The sequence below is a fragment of the Homo sapiens genome, chromosome 20 (assembly GCF_000001405.40).
Source record: "Homo sapiens chromosome 20, GRCh38.p14 Primary Assembly".
NCBI classification, from domain to species: Eukaryota; Metazoa; Chordata; class Mammalia; order Primates; family Hominidae; genus Homo; species Homo sapiens.
The window spans coordinates 23,620,231-23,638,348 of NC_000020.11; the positions used below are offsets into that span (position 1 = coordinate 23,620,231).

The 18,118-nt window shown below is 48.7% G+C and overlaps 1 protein-coding gene across 2 annotated transcripts, besides 3 other annotated features; it reads right to left on the bottom strand.

Annotated features, from left to right (window-relative positions):
* Positions 2,571 to 2,781: a silencer, noted in NCBI's record as "fragment chr20:23603438-23603648 (GRCh37/hg19 assembly coordinates)". NCBI's record gives its function as "represses an EF-1alpha promoter that drives an FKBP-Casp9 reporter gene in an ReSE screen in HepG2 liver carcinoma cells {active_cell/tissue: HepG2}" and the evidence as "EXISTENCE:reporter gene assay evidence [ECO:0000049][PMID:32094911]".
* On the bottom strand, positions 6,476 to 17,725 carry CST3 (cystatin C). 2 transcript variants are annotated; one of them, NM_001288614.2, is made up of 4 exons: positions 17,390 to 17,725; positions 15,024 to 15,137; positions 13,684 to 13,769; positions 6,476 to 9,235 (listed from the first exon to the last, which is right to left on the bottom strand). In NM_001288614.2, the coding sequence occupies exons 1-3, from the start codon at positions 17,630 to 17,632 to the stop codon at positions 13,686 to 13,688; spliced, it is 441 nt and encodes a 146-aa protein (NP_001275543.1). In that variant the 5' UTR covers positions 17,633 to 17,725; the 3' UTR covers positions 6,476 to 9,235; positions 13,684 to 13,685. The 2 variants fall into 2 exon arrangements, with proteins under 2 accessions (NP_001275543.1, NP_000090.1); NM_000099.4 differs by lacking the exon at positions 6,476 to 9,235 and having other exon boundaries at positions 13,427 to 13,769.
* Positions 17,260 to 17,509: a silencer, noted in NCBI's record as "silent region_12733". NCBI's record gives its function as "represses an Ori minimal core promoter by ATAC-STARR-seq in GM12878 lymphoblastoid cells {active_cell/tissue: GM12878}" and the evidence as "EXISTENCE:reporter gene assay evidence [ECO:0000049][PMID:35858748]".
* Positions 17,540 to 17,879: a silencer, noted in NCBI's record as "silent region_12734". NCBI's record gives its function as "represses an Ori minimal core promoter by ATAC-STARR-seq in GM12878 lymphoblastoid cells {active_cell/tissue: GM12878}" and the evidence as "EXISTENCE:reporter gene assay evidence [ECO:0000049][PMID:35858748]".

Consider the following 18,118-nt stretch of genomic DNA (forward strand, 5'->3'; position numbering starts at 1 on the left):
CTAACCTTTTTTCAAAGTTTTTAGCTTCCTTGCAATGGGTTGAAACATGCTCCTTTAGCTCAGATATGTTTGTTATTACCGACCTTCTGAAGCCTACTTCTGTCAACTTGTTAAACTCCGTCCATTTTTGTTCTGTTGCTGGCGAGGAGCTGCAATCCCTTGGAGGAGAAGAGACGCTCTGGTTTTTGGAATTTTCAGCTTTTCTGCTCTGGTTTCTCCCCATCTTTGTGGTTTTATCTACCTTTGGTCTTTGATGTTGGTGACCTACAGATGGGGTTTTGGTGTGGATGTCCTTTTCATTGATGTTGATGCTATTCCTTTCTATTTGTTAGTTTTCCTTCTAACAGTCAGGCCCCTCAGCTGCAGGTCTGTTGGAGTTTGCTGGAGGTCCACTCCAGACCGTGTTTGCCTAGGTATCACCAGCAGAGGCTGCAGAACAGCAAATATTGCTGTCTGATCTTTCCTCTGGAAGCTTCATCCCAGAAGGGCACCTACCTGTATGAGGTGTCTGTCGGCCCCTACTGGGAGGTGTCTCCCAGTCAGGCTACACGGGGATTAGGGACCCACTTGAGGGGGCAATCTGTCCATTCTCAGAGCTTGAACACTGTGCTGGAAGAACCACTGCTCTCTTCAGAACTGTCAGACAGGGACGTTTAAGTCTGCAGAAGTTTTCTGCTGCCTTTGGTTCAGCTATGCCCTGCCCACAGAGGTGGAGTCCAGAGAGGCAGTAGGCCTTGCTGAGCTGTGGTGGCCTCTGCCCAGTTCGAGCTTCCTGGCCACTTTGTTTACCTACTCAAGCCTCAGCAATGGCAGATGCCCCTCCCCCTGCCAGGCTGCAGCTCCGCAGGTCGATCTCAGACTGTTGTGCTAGCAGTGAGCAAGGCTCTGTGGGTGTGGGACTCACCTAGCCAGGCATGGGAGGGAATCTCCTGGTCTGCCGGGTGCGAAGACCATAGGAGAAGTGCATTATTTGGACAGGGGTGTACCATTCCTCCAGGTACAGTCTGTCACGGCTTCCCTTGGATAAGAAAGGGAAATCCCCTGACCCCTTGTGCTTCCCGGGTGAGGTGACGCCCTACCCTGCTTCAGCTTGCTCTCCATGGGCTGCACCCCCTGTCCAACCAGTCCCAATGAGATGAACCAGGAATCTCAGTTGGAAATGCAGAAATCACCCATCTTTTGCGTCAATCTCGCTGGGAGCTGCAGACCAAAGCTATTCGTATTCAGCCATCTTGGCAGCGACCAGTAATTCTATTTTTAATTCTTTGAGGAACTATTGTAAGTTTTCCACAGTAGCTGCACCATTTTACATTCCCACCAGCAGTGAAGAAGAGTACTAATTTTTACACATTCTTAATTACAGCCACCTTCGTGGGTGTAACAGGGTATCTCACTATGGCCTTGATTTGTGTTTCCCTAATGATGAGTGATGTCGAGTAGCTTTTCATGTGTGTACTGGCCATGCATGCATGTATCTTTGCAGAAATATCGATTCAAGCCTATTGCCCATCTTTGGTCATGTTGTTTGCTCTGTTTTTGTTGTCAAGTTGTAGGAGTTCCTTATATATTTTGGATACTAACCACTTGTCAGATATGTAATTTTGCAGATATTTTCTCCTTTTCTGTGGGTTGCCTTTTCATTCTGCTGATAGTGCTAGTGCCCTTTTTGATTTTATATTATTATTGATATGGTTTGGCTCTGTGTCCCCACCCAAATCTGTTGAGTTGTGATCCTCAGTGTTGGAGGAGGGACCTGGTGGGAGGTTATTGGATCATAAGGGCAGGTTCTTTTTTAAAAATTATTTTATTATTATTTTTTAAGTTCCAGGGTACAGGTATGTGCAGATTTGTTACATAGGTAAACATGTGTCATGGTGGTTTGCTGCACCTGACAACCCATTACCTAGGTATTAAGCCCAGCATGCATCAGCTCTTTTCCCTAATGCTCTCCCCATCCCACCTTCCCCCAACTGGCCCCAGTGTGTGTTGTTACCCTCCCTGTGTCCATGTGTTCTCATTATTCAGCTCCCACTTATAAGTGAGAATATGTGGTGTTTGGTTTTCTGTTCCTGCATTAGTTTGCTGAGGAGAATGGCTTCCAGCTTCACCCATGTCTCTGCAAAGGACATGATCTCATTCCTTTTTATGGCTGCACAGTATTCCATCGTGTATATGTACCATTCTTTATCCAATCTATCATTGATGGGCATTTGGGTTGATTCCATGTCTTTGCTATTGTGCCACAATGAACATATGAGTGCATGTATCTTTATAATAGAATGATTTATATTCCTTTGGGTATATAACCAGTAATGGGATTGCTGAGTCAAACGGTATTTCTGGTTCTAAATCTTTGAGGAATCACCACTCTGTCTTCCACAGTCATTGAACTAATTTACATTTCCACCAACAGTGTAAAAGCATTCCTACTTCTCTGCATTCTCAGCAGTATCTGTTTTTTTTTTTTTTTGGACTTTTTAATAAAAAGTGGAAATGCATTTTGCATTCACATAACGTCAGTTCTGTTTCGTTTCATGGACAATGAAGTATAACTTACAGACTATAGAAAGCAGAGACACTCTCATATTTTTACTTATGTGAATAAAAGTTGGGCCCATCTGCTCCCTCTCCTTTCTTTAACAATAGCACTACTGAGCTGTGATTTTGCCCAGTATCATCCCCCAGGAGACCAGTTCCCAGCCTCTTGGCAGCTGGGTGTGGCCGAGTGAGTCATCTCTGGCCAGGGAGATGAGAGCAAAGGACTGCAGCCACAGAGGCTTTGAGCTCCATTGCCCATACCCTGCTTTTCTTATGAAGAGAATTTATTCTCATCCCAGTGGTATCACTGAAAAGCTAAAGGCTGGGAAGATGAATGGAAGGGCCCGTGCTTTGGACATTCTGTTCCCATGAATCATATTTGCTTGGGAAATTAAGCAGGAACGAGAGCATTTTGGAAAACATGCTTCAGTTTCACTTTCAAAACAGGAACAGAGAAAAAGTAAAAACGAGAGAGGAAAACCAGCTGTGATGGCTAAATTTTTTGTGCCAACTTGGCTAGGCCATGGTGCCAGTTGTTTGGTGAAGCACCAATCTGTGTGTTGTCATGAGGGTGTTTTGTAGATATTGTTAACATGTACAATCGGTTGATTTTCAGTGAAGAAAATAACCTTAGATAATGTGGCTGGACTCCATTCAATTAGTTGAAGGACTTAAGGGCAAAAACTGAGATTTCCAGAAGAAGAATGAAGTCTGTTTTAGACTGTAACATATCCTGCCTGCCTGACAAATCCTGGACTTGCCAGGCCCCACAATCACATAAACAGATTCCTTAAAATAAATCTTTTTACATATATATGTGTGTGTATATATATATATATATATACACACACACACACACATTCTCTTAATAAATATAAATATATCTTAATATATGTACATAATATATATGTATACATTTCATGTTATATATGTATAATTGTATATTTATGTGCACATAATATATATCCTATTGGTACAATCTCTTTATATATATATAGATGTGTGTGCGTATATATATCCTGTTGGCTCTGTTTCTCTGGAGAAACCAAGTTGATACATGTATTAGTCTGTTCTCACACTGCTATAAAGAAATACCTGAGACTGGGTAATTTATAAAGGAAAGAGTTTTAATTGACTCACAGTTCCACGTGGCTGAGGAAGCCTCAAGAAACTTATGACCATGGCAGAAGGTGAAGGGGAAGCAAGGATGTTCTTCACACAGCAGCAGGAGACAGTGTATGTAAAGAAGAAACTGTCAAACATTTACAAAACCATTAGATTGCATGAGAACTCACCATCATAAAGATAGCATGGGGAAAACTGCACCCATGGTCCAATCACCTCCCACCAGGTCCCTCCCTCAACACGGGGATTATGGAGATTACAATTCAAGATGAGATTTGAGTGTGGACACAGCCAAACCATATCAATACACTGACTAATTCAGCAAGAAGAGACAGACTTCCCTATGAACTTAAGGACTGGGACCAATTTGATACAAAGCACAATGTGGTTCTGAAGGCTGGCAGAGAGGGAGATGAGGACGAACCTTGATTCAATTTCTCTTGCAGGGGCCACTGAAAAAGTGAGAGACACGTGAGCTATTGCTGAATTAGAAAACACTGACTGGGACTATCTAAAGTGAAATTAGCCAGACACAAAAAGACAAATACCGCATGTTCTCACTTATATGTGGGAGCTAAAAAGTCTGATCACATGGAAGCAGAGAGTGGAAAGATAGATACCAGAGACTGGGAAGGGTGAGTCACTGAAGGGGGAGGATGAAGAGAAGTGGGTTACAGGGTACAAATGTACAGTTAGATAGAAGAAACACATCTGATGTTTGATAGCAGAGTAGGGTGACTATAGTTAAACAAAAATGTATTGTATTCTGGTGATGGACTCCCTAAACAGTCTGACCTAATCACTATGCATTTATATAAATGCAACAAAATTTCACATGTGCCCCATAAATTTGTACAAATAAAAACAAACAAAACAAAATTCTTATGCCTAAAAAAGGAAGAATGAAAGAACGAAAGAAAGAAAGAGAAAGAAAGAAGGAAAGAAAAAGAAAGAAAGAAAGAAAGAAAGAAAGAAAGAAAGAAAGAAAGAAAGAAAGAAAGAAAGAAAGAAACAAAGAAAGAAACAAAGAAACAAAGAAAGAGTGAATGGGGCCAAAGGCATCTCACTGATGGAGAGTAGAGTGGTCTCAGAGGACAGGCCAGAATGACACCTCGGGGGGTTGGTGGGGTGCAGGTAGGATCCAGGGAGCTACTGGCATCTGCGGGGAGCCTCTTAGGTCTGCACAAAGAGGACTCCCAGTAAGAACAGTTGAAGGTTTGCTTCCTACAACTGTTAGAATCACCTGCGGCGTGTGACTTTAGTTGTCTGGATGGGGCTTGTGAACCAGCATCCATTCAATGCATCCAGGTGATTCTTATAGTTGTTGGTTCAGGTTCTTGACTTCGCCACACAAAATAATTTGAGAGCAAGTCCAAAGTAACAGTAGGCAAAGAAGTCTGTTGCAAAGCAACAGCTACATTCTGAGAGGCAGAGGGGGCTGCTCAGAAGAAACAGCAGCTAGTGCCGTAAGGGAAATTCCCTTTATGGGAGCTGTTCATTCACATTCATAAAATACTGGTGAGGTCAAGTATGCAAAGGTGGACTTGCGGTTGACACATGCACTCAGCATCTATGTGCTCTAACATGCATCACGTGCATCATCAGCACATAAAATCTCCACCTAGGAATGTGTTTTTTACTATTAAGATGAGGGAAATGACACTATAAGCCAAACCTTCAGCCTACTTGCATAGGTGGGACCCCAGAGAAGTTCTTAGCCCTCCACTCCCCTCAAAGTAGGAATTTGTAGCTAATATCTTCTTGGGCTTTGGAGCTGATTGGCTGGAGATTAGGGAAGCTACTTCATGAACAAGGGGCTTTTGTTCTCTTTCCCAGCTGCGTTGAGTATCAGGAACTTAAGACTCTGGCGGTTGGCTGGTACCGTGTAGGACTGCTTACCTTGCAAAAGAGTTAGATGCTGACACGTAAGGATGCAAGTGAAAGGAGCCCACTGAGAAGTGAGCCCACAGGGCTTCACACAAGCGGATGAGCCAGTATGGCCCCCTAACCTTCCTTATCCAGCCTCATTCTGTGCCCCCAGGAATGAGGACCACAGTCTTAGCAACTGGGCCAGGTCTTCTGACCAACTTCACCAACGTGAAATCATCGAAGCTCCACTGGTGGTTTCTCAGGTGATGCGGACACTGTAGGTGAAGATACAGGTTTGATTCAGCTTCAAGAGGACGTGCTTGATAAACTCAAGGAAAATAAGAGAGGATGAGCAGAGGTGGGACCTACCAAAGGGGAGTCAGTCACCGGTGTCTCAGGTCAGTGCTCATTCTGATGGAAAACAGTTATCCCACTCAGGGTGAGAGAATAAACAAGACCTGTTCAACATCACATGACTTGAGCAGACTGGAAGTGACTGATTTATATCCTTCCTTAGGGTATCCCTTGGGCAAAATGCAGTGACTGCGTAAGAAGAGGAAAGGAGTGGGGCTTGAACACAAGGAAAGAATCAAGGACTTTCCAAAATTTCACTGCAAGTAGGCATGAGCACACACTGCTTCTCATGTTTACTACTTTGTCTCACAGCTTGTGAACACACATTCTTGGGCCACGCCCCAGGGTTTCTAATTCAACAGGCTGGGGTGTGGCCTAAGAACTTGCATCTCTTACAAGATCTCTGGTGGTGCTGCTGCTGCTGGTCCAGGAACTGCACTTTGGGATTCTCTACCTTTAAAAAATACATCCAATCACTGTGAGAAATGGGCTACAGGCACTGCACTGTCACCTGTCACGCATGCACTAAGGCTGGGGGATCTCAGTGGCTGAGAGCCTGAGACTGAGCCAAATAAGAATTTGAGAAGAATTGTTTGTACACTTTAAGAATTTTATTGTGGGCTGTGATTTCTTTAGACTTCAATGTCAGGACTTCAACTTGCAAGGGGAGTTGATCTTGTGTTTAGTTTTTCCTGGGAATGAGACGATGGGGGTTGGGTGGTAAATTTATGGTCAAGTTTGGGGCATTTGCACATTGGCTTGTAACTGGAGTAAGTTGTGGTGTTGTTTAATTTTGTCGAGGCTTGACTGGAACATATGGCTGGAAATTATTTGGGACTGAAAGAGAAGCGGTAGTAAACATTTGCCTTAGGTAAAATGTAGCTTTGGGATGAAACTTTTTTAAACAGCTTTACTGACATTTAATTTTCACATACCTCACCCACTTAAAGTATACAATTCAGTGGTTCCGAGTATATTCACAAAATTGTGCAAATGGACGTATAATCTGATTTTAGAACATTTTCATGATCCCTCCAAGGAAACTTCCTATTAGCAGTCACTCTGCCTTCTATTGCCCCCAGCCCTAGACAACCACTAATCTACAGCCTGTCTCTATACATTTTTCTGTTCTGGGTATTTCATATAAATTGAATCATATTGTATGAATGCTGACTTGTTTCAGCATGGCTTGCTGGCTTCTTTCACTTAGCACATTTTCAAGATTGCTCCACATTGTAGCACGGGTCATGTCATTCTCTTTTATGCCCGTTCATTTTCCATTGTATGAATAGACTAACACTATATCTTGATTATCCATTCGTCAGTTGATGGACATTTGAGGTTTTTTTTAATATATTTTTTTCTGATTTTAATAATGATGCTATGAACTTTCATGTGTAAATATTTTGGTGAACTTAATGTTTTTATTTGTAGCTGACATATAAATATGAGTAGAGTTGCTAGGTTATATGGTAGGTCTAACCTTTTGAAAACTTGTGAAACTGTTTTCCAAAGCAGCTGCACCATTTTACATTCCCACCAGCTATGTATAAAGATTCCAATTTGTTATTTGTGGTCTCTTTGACCACAACCATGTAGTGGCTTTGAAGCTGCTTTTTACTGTGGTTTTGATTTGCCTTTTCCTAATAGCTAATGGTGTTATGCACGTTTTTATGCGTTTATTGGCTATTTACATATCTTCTTTGGAAAAACGTTTATTCAAATCCTTTGGAACTTTTAAATTGGTTTGTTTCTTTAAAAACTTTGAGTTATATAAAAATTAGGTTATTTGCCTTTATTTTTAAATTGGTTTTTTTAAAAAGAATTTTTAATTGGGTTACCAGTCTTATTGAGTTGTAAGAGTTCATTATATGTTCTGAATACAAGTTCTATATCAGATATATAATTTGCAAAATTTTTTTCCTATCATGTGTGTTGTTTTTTTTTGTTTTTGTTTTTGTTTTTGGGAGGGGATGAATTTAATTAGTGAGTTGTTCTGGCCTATTTGAGGGTTTCCTGAGTTCAAATCAATTCCATTTATGAGAAGTCCCGGGGGATCCCCAAGAAATTTGGTTGGTACTGGGGAGGTGCCTCATGAAGATAGAAAAAGGATGTCCAGATTGATTGCTGATTTCAATCCCAGGGGCACAGCTACACTTCTGGCTGACCACAGCTTAACGATGAGCCCGATTATATCTCAATAAGGGAAGTTACAGCCAATTTCTCCTTGAACACAAGTCCATTGCAGCATCTTCAGAGGCAGGGCCAGCCTCTATTTTTCAGTCATGGTGACATCTGTGGTCCTTGCATTTTTAAGAGTGGCCTGCTACTTGTAAGGTCCAGGGGGCAGGTCCTCCACTTTCTGCAAGCTGGTCCTTGAGGCATTACTTCTGAAACAGTCAAGAAATGTCATGGGACTGTGGGTCTGAGAACCGACTGATGAGTTATTTTTGTCTGTCAGTGAGGACAGACAAGAGCACAGGGCTGGAAACCCAACCCAACTGGCCTGGTGGTTGGTTCACATAACTAGGAAGTTCAGAGCAAGGGCGGGCATCAGGCTCTGCTTGGTGCAGGGACTCCATTATAACCCACCTGCTCCTTGCTCTCTGTTTCTCTCTCTCTTTTTCTGAGACACAGGGTCTCGCTCTTTTGCCCAGGCTGGAGTTCAGTAGTGAAATCATGGCTCATTGCAGCCTCAAACTGCTGAGCTCACGCAGTCCTCCCGCGTCAGCCTCCAGAATAGCTGGGAGTGCACCACCAGGCCTGGTTTCCTTGCTGTCTCTTCAGTTTTGTTGCTTCCCATAACTTGGCTTCATTCTCAAACAGGCTCCAAGTGGGCCCCAGACCTCAAGTCTTTTTTATCTTCACACTCAGCAGGGAAGGAAGAACCCACTTATCACACAGTCAAACAAAATCCCACCGTTAAGCCTATGTGGGTCCTGGGCAGCCACACATAGGTCACGTGTTGTCCTCATGCCAATCATGAGGCTTCAGGGGAGGGAGACCCGCTGCCCTGACCAGCTTAGCCAGGGTCAAGTGCTCCAAGCTGTGGTCCAAAGGGTAGAGTCAGCTTCCCTGGAAAAAGGCGGAGTGAGAGGGGAGGAGGGGTGAATCCTCACGGGGAAACTGCTATTGTTGTTGTAAGAAGGTGGGGCAGTCATGGCTTGTGAGTCAGACGCTGGCCGCTGGCCTCAGAGGTGTGTTTGGTAATGATGCCTCCATGCATACAGCATGAGCTGCCCAGTCAGAGAAGGCACAGAGCCTGTGGGGTAAACACTTCCCAGCATCATTCCCTGCCTGGTAGCCATTCAGGAAAGGCAGCATTTTCCTCAGTCTTTTCATCAGGGTCCTGGATTTGGGTAAAATAAATAGATAAATAAATAACTGTTGCTATTAGTGATCTCAAGTCCCTCACAAAGAAGGTGGTCCTGTTCACTAGGAAGGCCTTTGGTTTATAAGCACCTTGATGGGTGTGGGGAAGTCTACAAAGAGCTGAGTGGTTCTACCCCACAAAGGAGCCTTTGGACTTGCTGAGGGACTCAGTGGAGAGGATGCGTGGACAGATGGGGAATGCCACGGCGAAGAGCAGGCAGGGGAACAATCAGGCCAGTGACTGGTGGGGGGGGGAGGGGGTGGAATGTGAAGGTCAAGTGGCAACTACCTTTGGGAGGGAAGCCAAGGGCATTTCAAGGACAGAAATACCCAGTGCTGGGTTTGAGGAAGTGGGGGTTACTGTTCCACAGGGCAGGAGGTGATTTCCTGAAATCACCGACAAATTTCATTGCCCCAAACAAAGCTTTGGTGGAAGGAATTTCCGTTTGCTTTTGCTTTGTTGAGTTTCATTTACTGGAAATCAAGGGCTACACGTTTGCAGAGATACCTGGCACGGAAAGTGTGTCCACAGGCAGATGTGACCATGAGACTATCTTTACCTGCTGCAATTTGCAGATGTTTTAGGAGCAACTGGACTTTGACCAGGACTCTAATTGAGTTATAGTCCAGTGGTTCCTTGGGGAAGCAATGGGAGGAGTATTTAAACATCCAATGTCCACGTCCCATCCCAGAACACGATCAACTTTTCCGACTGGGATCATGGGATTGCCATGTGCAGCCAGGCTCCCCAGTGACGCCATGTACAGCCAAGCTTGAGACTAGAGTTCAGATGAGCCTGACCTGGTCTCAAGGGAGCCAGAGCCCCAGCTGATGTCACAGTGGCCTGAGCACATCTGACTCGACCCCATAAGCCTCAGGTGACAGGATTTGGAAGTGACCCACTTGGCATCCCAGCACCAAGGGTGAGAGCAGGTATGGGTAATTAAAGGAATGTCTGTTCCCTATTTTAGTCACCATTGTGTTCATGGCTTCTCAGTGTTGTGTCTTTGAGCAGTGAACTCAGACAGCACAGCAGAGCATAAGGAGAGGAAGGGGTGACTAGCTGCTGTCTTCCTGGGCCTCGTCTCTCCAGCTTCGCCCTGGAGTTATGGGACAGGGCTGGCGATTTGCTCTCTCTACATCTTTTAGGGAGGCTTGTGGCCTAGTCCAAGGTCACTCCCGTCAGCCAATCATAAGCCAGCTCTCCTCTGTCTCTCACAGCCACATGGGTGGCAACATCCCAAGCCTCTAAGTCCATAAATAATAAACCACCAAGGCAGAGTTAAAAAAAAAAAAAAAGGCAAACTCAATAGTCTTCTATTGAACTATTAACTAGTCTATCAGTAAAGACTAGAGGTACAATACTTGGAAATATCCCTGACCAAAATATAAAATATCCAGGAATAAATTTCACAGAAAATATGAAAGATGCATAAAATTTATTCTACTGAATACCATCAGAAAAGCAGGAAGGTATTGCAAGATGCATGGTATTCTAAAATGAAAGGCTCAAATGTTAAACGTTGTCAATTTTTTTTCCTAAAAAAACATAATATTTCTACTTATTGAACCTGAAAAAACAGTTTCATTTGGAGGAAGAAATACATTTAGAAAACAAAATTTTGGGGGAATAAAGAATAAAGATATAAAAATATTACCTAAAAGATACAAAAATATTATATTTAAAATGGAGTAATTAAAAAAATGGAAAAGAACAAGCCAGATTTAGGACTGAGATCCTGAAACTGACCTATGGTTATGGAAATCTGCTGTGGGTGTCAGCTGGAGCGGCTCTGGGCGGTCTCCTGTGGAGACTCCATCTTGGATGCCAATGCTGAGCCTCAGTCCCATCAATGCTTCTAAGATTTCTATTTCATCTGCTGTTTACTGTAAATCCAGCCCTTAGGTAAATTCCTTCTGAAGCTCCTATACCTTTTCCCCTATGGCACAGAAGCCCAGGGTCTGGGGGTAATGGGGTGGCGATCCACTGTCTTGCAGCCACGCAGGACACGGCTTCTGTTCCCAGGTCCCTATTACAACTTTCTTTCTAAGAAACTAGACTTGTCAGCCTCTCTTCGGCCTCTCAGCTCCCTGGGCCTTTGAGGGTAGGTGTCTGCAGGCTTGCCATCGAGGAACACCCCGCCAGCCTGACCGTCCTGGGGAGAGGGATCCTTCTGCAAAGGCTGGCTTCCTTCAGGACAAGAATGCTAGGGAGCTCAGAAGCTACTGGGCCCTTCCTGATCCCACCCCAATGGTCACCAGCAACACAATGCAAGAGGTGTCAAAGCACTATGTTATAAAGCCACCAGTGTAGAACCAGATCAATGAAAAAGCCTCTCCAACTTACTGTGTTTATTCAGAGCCAGGCCCTGTAATGAATCTATTTATATGGATAACTGTAGATGAAGTATATACTTAAATCAACATTTAAAATAAATGTAAAAGTAACTCTTGCAGATGAAAGGTGCAAGGGCGAGGCCTCCTCTCCAGGATGTGCTGGTCACAGTGACCTCTGGGTCAGAGGGGCTTCTGGCTCACTGGCCTCATGGGGGCCCAAGGGAGGCATTTACAGGCCCGCCGGCTGCGGAGGGGAGGCAGGGGTGGCACCAACCTGCTTCCCTGTGGGCTGTGGGCCATGGGGCCACCGGGCGGAGGGCAGGGAAGGAAGCAGACACACAGGGAGGCTGGGGAGCCCTGTGCACAGCCCGCCCCCAACCTCAACTTCCCCAAGGAAGAAGTGTGTCAGAAAAGGCACTGGGCTATATGGTCAGCTGTCCGTTTCCACTGGGTGCCTGGATGGAGGTTGCCTGTGTCAAAGATCCTTCACCGAGGTAGAAAACCAGGAGCACCTCCCTGCAGGGACCCTTTACCACTGACCACAACCACCACTTCTATCCCCCAACCCCCCACAGAAAACTGAGTGACTAAGACCACCCACCCCCAGCAGGGTGAGGCCCAGACTCAAATCTCCTCAGCTCATGGCATCCTAGGGGGTGCTACACTTCCCTCACCCCAAAGACCCTGTTAAAGCAAGTCAGGGTGGAGAGGAAAAGGAAGCAGACGCTCCCCACTCTCCCTGCCGTGTCCCCTGCTCTGACTTTGCAGGGACAGCATGTGGGGTGCTGGCCTTGGCGCTACTGGGGTGGATTTTCCTTCATCATTTCACCTTCAGTGTTCATGGCAGCAGCCAAAAGAGGGGGTCAGTGCAGCTCCGAGGTTGGAAGGTACCTGGGAGGCCTGCCCCAGCAGCACTGGCTGTAAGGGCTGCACCCCTGTCCTAAAATGGCAAAGGGAAGGACTGTGCAGGGTGGGCTGTGTCTTAGGACTGTAGCCTCCTGCTTGTGGCACAAAGATCCACTATTCTATAGGATAATGCTGACATGAAGGGAATGTTCTCTCTTAATCCTCCTTGGAAAAAGAAGAGTCCACTGCATTGTCGGTCTCATTTGTGCTTTAACTTCATCCCTACCATGAAGCTGGACTAACAACTTGTTTTAAATCCAAGTCCAGAGAAAGGGCTGGTGGCTATGAGCCTGTAAAACTCTGGGAGGACACAGCCTCCCAGGATGGATGACAGCAGGTGCCACTTTCTCTGTGATCTTGCTGGTCTCTGGTCTGGCTGGCGTTTCTCCTGCTCAGTTACACAGACAGGCTTTTTGGACTTTGTTTCCACGTAGGGGCCTAAGTCTCTTGGAAAGAAGCACGCATTGATCACTATTTAGTGTCTAGGGGATTTGATGAGAGCAGCTCAGTCCCTGGGGTCTGCTCAACTCTGCAAGCACAGATGGAATCTATGACCTGGCGAGCTCCACCGAGGCCTGGCCCCTGTCTATGGACACAGCCAGCTCCCTCCTCCTGGTCTGACCAGCAGCTCAGACCAAATCACCAGCCCAGCTTCTGGGGGCAGCAGCTTGGGCCCCTCCTCTCCCTGACCCCCTCACCAGGGGCTGCTGTGGCTCAATGCCTTGTTTCCCAGCCCCTGGCTGCTCTCCCTGCTCTGAGACTCAGGACTCCTATAGCAGCAGCTTGCCTGATGGCCTTGCTGTGGCCGCGTCAGCTCCCAGGTACTCCTCTCATCTTCACACCAGCAGGACAAGGAGGCTTCATAAAGGAACTGCGGAAACCCTGCCTGTGTGCACATCCCCAGACAGCCAAGAACTCAGAGGGAGCCGATGCTACTATTTTATTGCAGGAGGTGGGGGTGTATGCACCGCACACCGGGGCTATGAGAAGCAAGAAGGAAGGAGGGAGGGCAGAGCCCCTTGCTGAGCAACAAAGGCCGCCTGCTGCCTTCTCTGTCTGTCTCCTGGTGCAGGCACATGGGGAGACCTTCCCCAAGGCAGGGGCCACCAGTCCAGGGGTGGGAATACAGGGGGTGGGAGGTGTGCATAAGAGGTGATAGGCACAGGCCAGCCCGGTACAGACCCCTAGGCGTCCTGACAGGTGGATTTCGACAAGGTCATTGTGCCCTGCCAAGGCACAGCGTAGATCTGGAAAGAGCAGAATGCTTTCTGTGAAAGGAAACAGAGGGGACAATCAGTGTGGGTTACAGTTCAAAGCAGAAGATGCCCAGGCACGGGACATCAGAGTGGGAGTGAAGAAGGATGGAGGTGAAACACTGGGCCCTTATCTACCCCTCCACCCACCCCCGCTGATCCCAGAGCACCGCTGGACTGGGCAGTGACTGCTCCATCCCTCTCCCAGGGCTCCAACTCTACCTGGTGGCACTGGGCCCCCACCCCAGCCTGCAGGATTCCTGCCCCAGCACAGCCCTGTGAGGAGCAGCCTGTGCAAGGCCTCGGGAGCCCTAAGGGTACAGGGCAGGGGGAGGCAGCTCACTGCCCCCAGCTCCTTCCACCTCCAGCCCTCAGGCCAGCACTATGAAGGGCGAGAGGGAAGAACCCAGGGAACTGGAAATTCCAAGTCATAGCACATGGGGTGGTGAGGAGATGACAAGGAGAGTGTGGCTCTCCCCTGAGCAGAGACGTCACAAGAAATCCTGGGTCCTTGGAGAAGCTGGTGTTGGGTGAGCTGGGGCAGGTCTGAGGGTTTGGCTGCTAACAGGCCTCTACTACCCTCTAATCTGCTCAGCATGGCCGTGGCTGTGGGCAGGTGCCTAAGGCTGGGATTAGACAGAGCCCTTTCTCCCTGCCCAGCACCCAGCCCTGCAGCTGCTTCCTGCAGTCCAGTAGGCAACACTCCAAAGCACATAGGGTGGAGCTCCCAGTACCCCAATCCCAAGCTAAAGCCCTCTTAGCAAATCAAATTCATCACTCCTCTCCACACCACCCCGTCTACATGCACACACATAGGCATCTACATGAACTCACCCTAACCTTCACCCATACGGATCTATGCATGAATCCACATACTCCCTCATACATCTATCTACCCACATGCACACACACACACAGGGCAGGTAATTCCTCATAATACAGCATGTATGTTCACAGAAACCCCCATGTATGTGAATGTATGTGCACAGACACCCCCACACATATGTGCACACACATATACTCACACACCCACACCTATCCATGCATAAACCCCCACACTTCCCCAACACATCCACACACCCACTTGCACACACTCACGTGCACTTCCCCACACAAACCTATACTTGGAAACACATATGCATCTCCACGTGTACACACACTCAGGCACATGCACACGTACCCTGCAGAACATGTGCATCACACACACACACACACACACACACCCCTCTGCAGTGTATGACTGGCCCTGGACCCATATAAGGCACATACCCTTTTCAGATGTGGCTGGTCATGGAAGGGGCAGTTGTCCAAGTTGGGCTGGGTCTTGGTACACGTGGTTCGGCCCAGCTCCACGTCCAAGAAGTAGTTCACCCCAGCTACGATCTACACATGTGAAAGAGCAGGAGGCAGGGACAGCACGTTCTGTCAGTTTCTTACACACACAGGCACTTCACTGTGACCGGGTCACTGGGCTTGCCTGGGGCTTCAAGCCTACCTTCATGAGCTGCCCACATTGTCACCTGCAAGGCACACAAGCCACCTCCTCCTGCCAGCTGGCAGGGATGCCATGCCCCAGGCCTCCCCGGTAACTTGTTTCTCTATGCCAATGCCAAGGATTAACTGAATTCCGCTACCTATGACCCAGGGGGCAGGGACACTGGATCTATTCTAGGAAGGTTCTCATGTGATGATGAAATTTCGGCAAACTTCCAGTTCCTGGCATTCAGTCCACAGAGCATCTCATTCCTGCCATTTAACCCAGAGGTATTTTTCCTCATTTCTCACTAGGAGATGAGATGCTCACATACATTGATGTTTTAGGCCAATAAACATTGCTTCCCACGTGCTTCCATTCCAGGTGTGATTTTCAAGGCAATATTTCTAAAGTGAGTCACACACCTGCATGTCTTAGGGTTGCAACTTCAGAAGAGAACTGAATGCTTTCCCTGCACAGTGCCGCCCCAAAACATGACTTGTCAGAACTGTGGAGAAGCATGGGATGAGGGACCCTGGGACCAGGGTGCTAGACCTTGCCCTGTGGAACCACACACAAGTCCTGTAGAAGCACAAGCAAGGCCTGTGATCCCTCTGGTGTCAGTCTGCTCCTCTGTAAAATAGGCTCCAGGGCCCAACGATCTACAATGCCCCATGCTTCACTCCCAGTGAGAGAGAGGTGCAGGCCAGCGGGGACCCTACACCAGGGAATGGCCCTCCTGTGCAGGGAGAGGGCCCCAGCTGACGGCTGCGGGAGAAACGCGGCTGGTCTGGACTCCTCTGAATTTCCAAGAGAAGGTGGAGGAGCTCTAAAGTCTGTGTCACTGTTCGCTGCTCTGCCATGGGATGCAGGTCAAGCTGGGCCTGGTAGCCCTACTGAAGCTCCCTCCCGATCCGACCCCCTACTCCGGTCTGCTGGGTGTCTTCATCTGGCTGAGGTCTAACTCTGCATCAGCTGATAGAGGCAGGGTCAGGCATGCTCCACCCCAGCAGGGACTCAGCTGCCCTGGGATGTAGGGGGTGGTCAGCCGGCCTGAGGGTGAAGGCCGCTAGTCCTAGGGGACTGTGCCCAGGGGTGTGACTTGGGGAGGGAAGCAGGGCTCTGCAGGACAAGGTGCCAGGCTCACGTGTGGCCCCTGCGGAGAGTATTCTGGGAGGAGGATGAGCCGCATGGCCTAGATCTCATCTTGAGCAGCATCAAGCCCACCCAGAGTCAGCATAGTCTCCATCCACACCTGCTAGACCCTGGGAAATGGCACGGTCGTGGCACAGACCCAGCTGCTGCTGCAGGTTAAAAGAGGCCGAGGGGACAGGACAGGGCTGAACTCATGCACTCATGGCCCAGGAGCGTCCTAGGGCACGAAGGCCGTCAACAGACAGGGAAAGCTGAATGAGTCTGAGCATTAGATCATGAATGTGTCAGTGCTGATTTTCAAAATGGAATAGTGATTATGTGCGATATTGCCCTTGTTTTTAGGAAAAACACACTGAAGTGTTTACTTTCAAAAGATTCAGGCAAAAAATGCATATACAGTACATATACACACACCCATATTCACATTCGGAAAGTGAGCTGGGGGGAACAAACAGGGCAAAATGTTAACATCTGTGCTAACATCTGAGGGATCTGGGTGAAAGATCTACAGGGATGCCCTGTGCTATTTTGCAGCTGCTCTGTAAGTCTGAAATTACGGGAGAATAAAAAGTTAAAAGAAACAAAAGTGCTTAAAAATTATTTGGTGGAAGAACAAGGAGGCAGCCAGATGAGGGGCTCTGTTTTTCCTTCTCCTGCGTATTCAGCAGCGCACCCGGAGCCCAGCGTCCCAGGAGGTCGGGACAGAGCTGTGTGGGACGTCCTGTGCCTGCCCCCGCGCTGCGGCGCAGCTCGAGCTGGCTCCTGGAAGCTGATCTTAGGCGCCGGGCGCGGACCTGACGTGTCCGTGCGGTTCCAGGCCAGGCCAGACTCAGGGCATTCCCGGACACGCCCGCCAAGGGCTCGGGGGTGACAGCGAAGACCGGGAACAGGGTCCGGGTGAGAAGCCCAGGCGCCGGAGAGGAGCAGCACGGGGTCCGGGAGCAGCGCGGGGGGAGGCTGGGACGGCGGGGCCGGGGCTTCGGACCCTGCGGGGGGCGGCACGCACCTGCTTGCGGGCGCGCACCACCTGCAGCGCGCGGCTGTGGTACATGTCGTTGCTGGCTTTGTTGTACTCGCCGACGGCAAAGTCCAGTGCACGCCGCACACCCTCCTCCTCCACGCTGGCGTCCATGGGGCCTCCCACTAGGCGCGGCGGCTTGCCGGGACTGGAGCCGGCCGCGGGGCTCACGGCCAGGGCCACGGCCAGGATGGCCAGCAGGAGCAGCGGGGCGCGCAGGGGCCCGGCCATGGTCGGCTAGGACGCGGGACGCGGGGAGTGGGGCGCAGGCGAGAGGCTGGAGCTAGATAGAGAGGACCCGCTGCGATACCGAGGCGAGGCCGTGAGCCCCGCGAGGCCGGCGACTGCGGTTTTATCCCTTCCGGCCTTCGCCGCCCCACCCCACCGCGGCCTGCACTCCCTTTTCCGGAACGCCTCGTCCCTCCCACCTCCCTTCTCCCTCCCCGCCTCCCCTGCCTCTCCCCGCCTCCCCTGCCTCTCCCCGCCTCCAGGTCCCTCCCTATCAGTCTCCTCCCATCCCAGCCTCCCCTGCCCCTCCAGGCTTCCCTGTCCTTCCCCATCCATCCCCTTCCCTCCCCTCCCAGCCCCTCCCGGCCTCTCCTCTCCCTTCCCGCCTCCCCTCTCCCTCCCCTCCTCCCCTGGCCCCCCAGTCTCCCTGGCCTTCCCTATCCATTCCCATCCATCCCCTCCCCTCCCCTCCCCCTCCTCTCCTACTGT

What these genes read in the sequence shown, in the direction of transcription:
- CST3 (NM_001288614.2), bottom strand. Translation starts at nt 17,632, where the DNA reads ATGGCCGGGCCCCTGCGCGCCCCGCTGCTCCTGCTGGCCATCCTGGCC. An exon ending in TGGTGCGCGCCCGCAAGCAG is followed by an intron (nt 15,138 to 17,389) that starts GTGCGTGCCGCC and finishes TCACATGTGTAG; the next exon opens with ATCGTAGCTGGGGTGAACTA. An exon ending in ACCAGCCACATCTGAAAAGG is followed by an intron (nt 13,770 to 15,023) that starts GTATGTGCCTTA and finishes TTCCTTTCACAG; the next exon opens with AAAGCATTCTGCTCTTTCCA.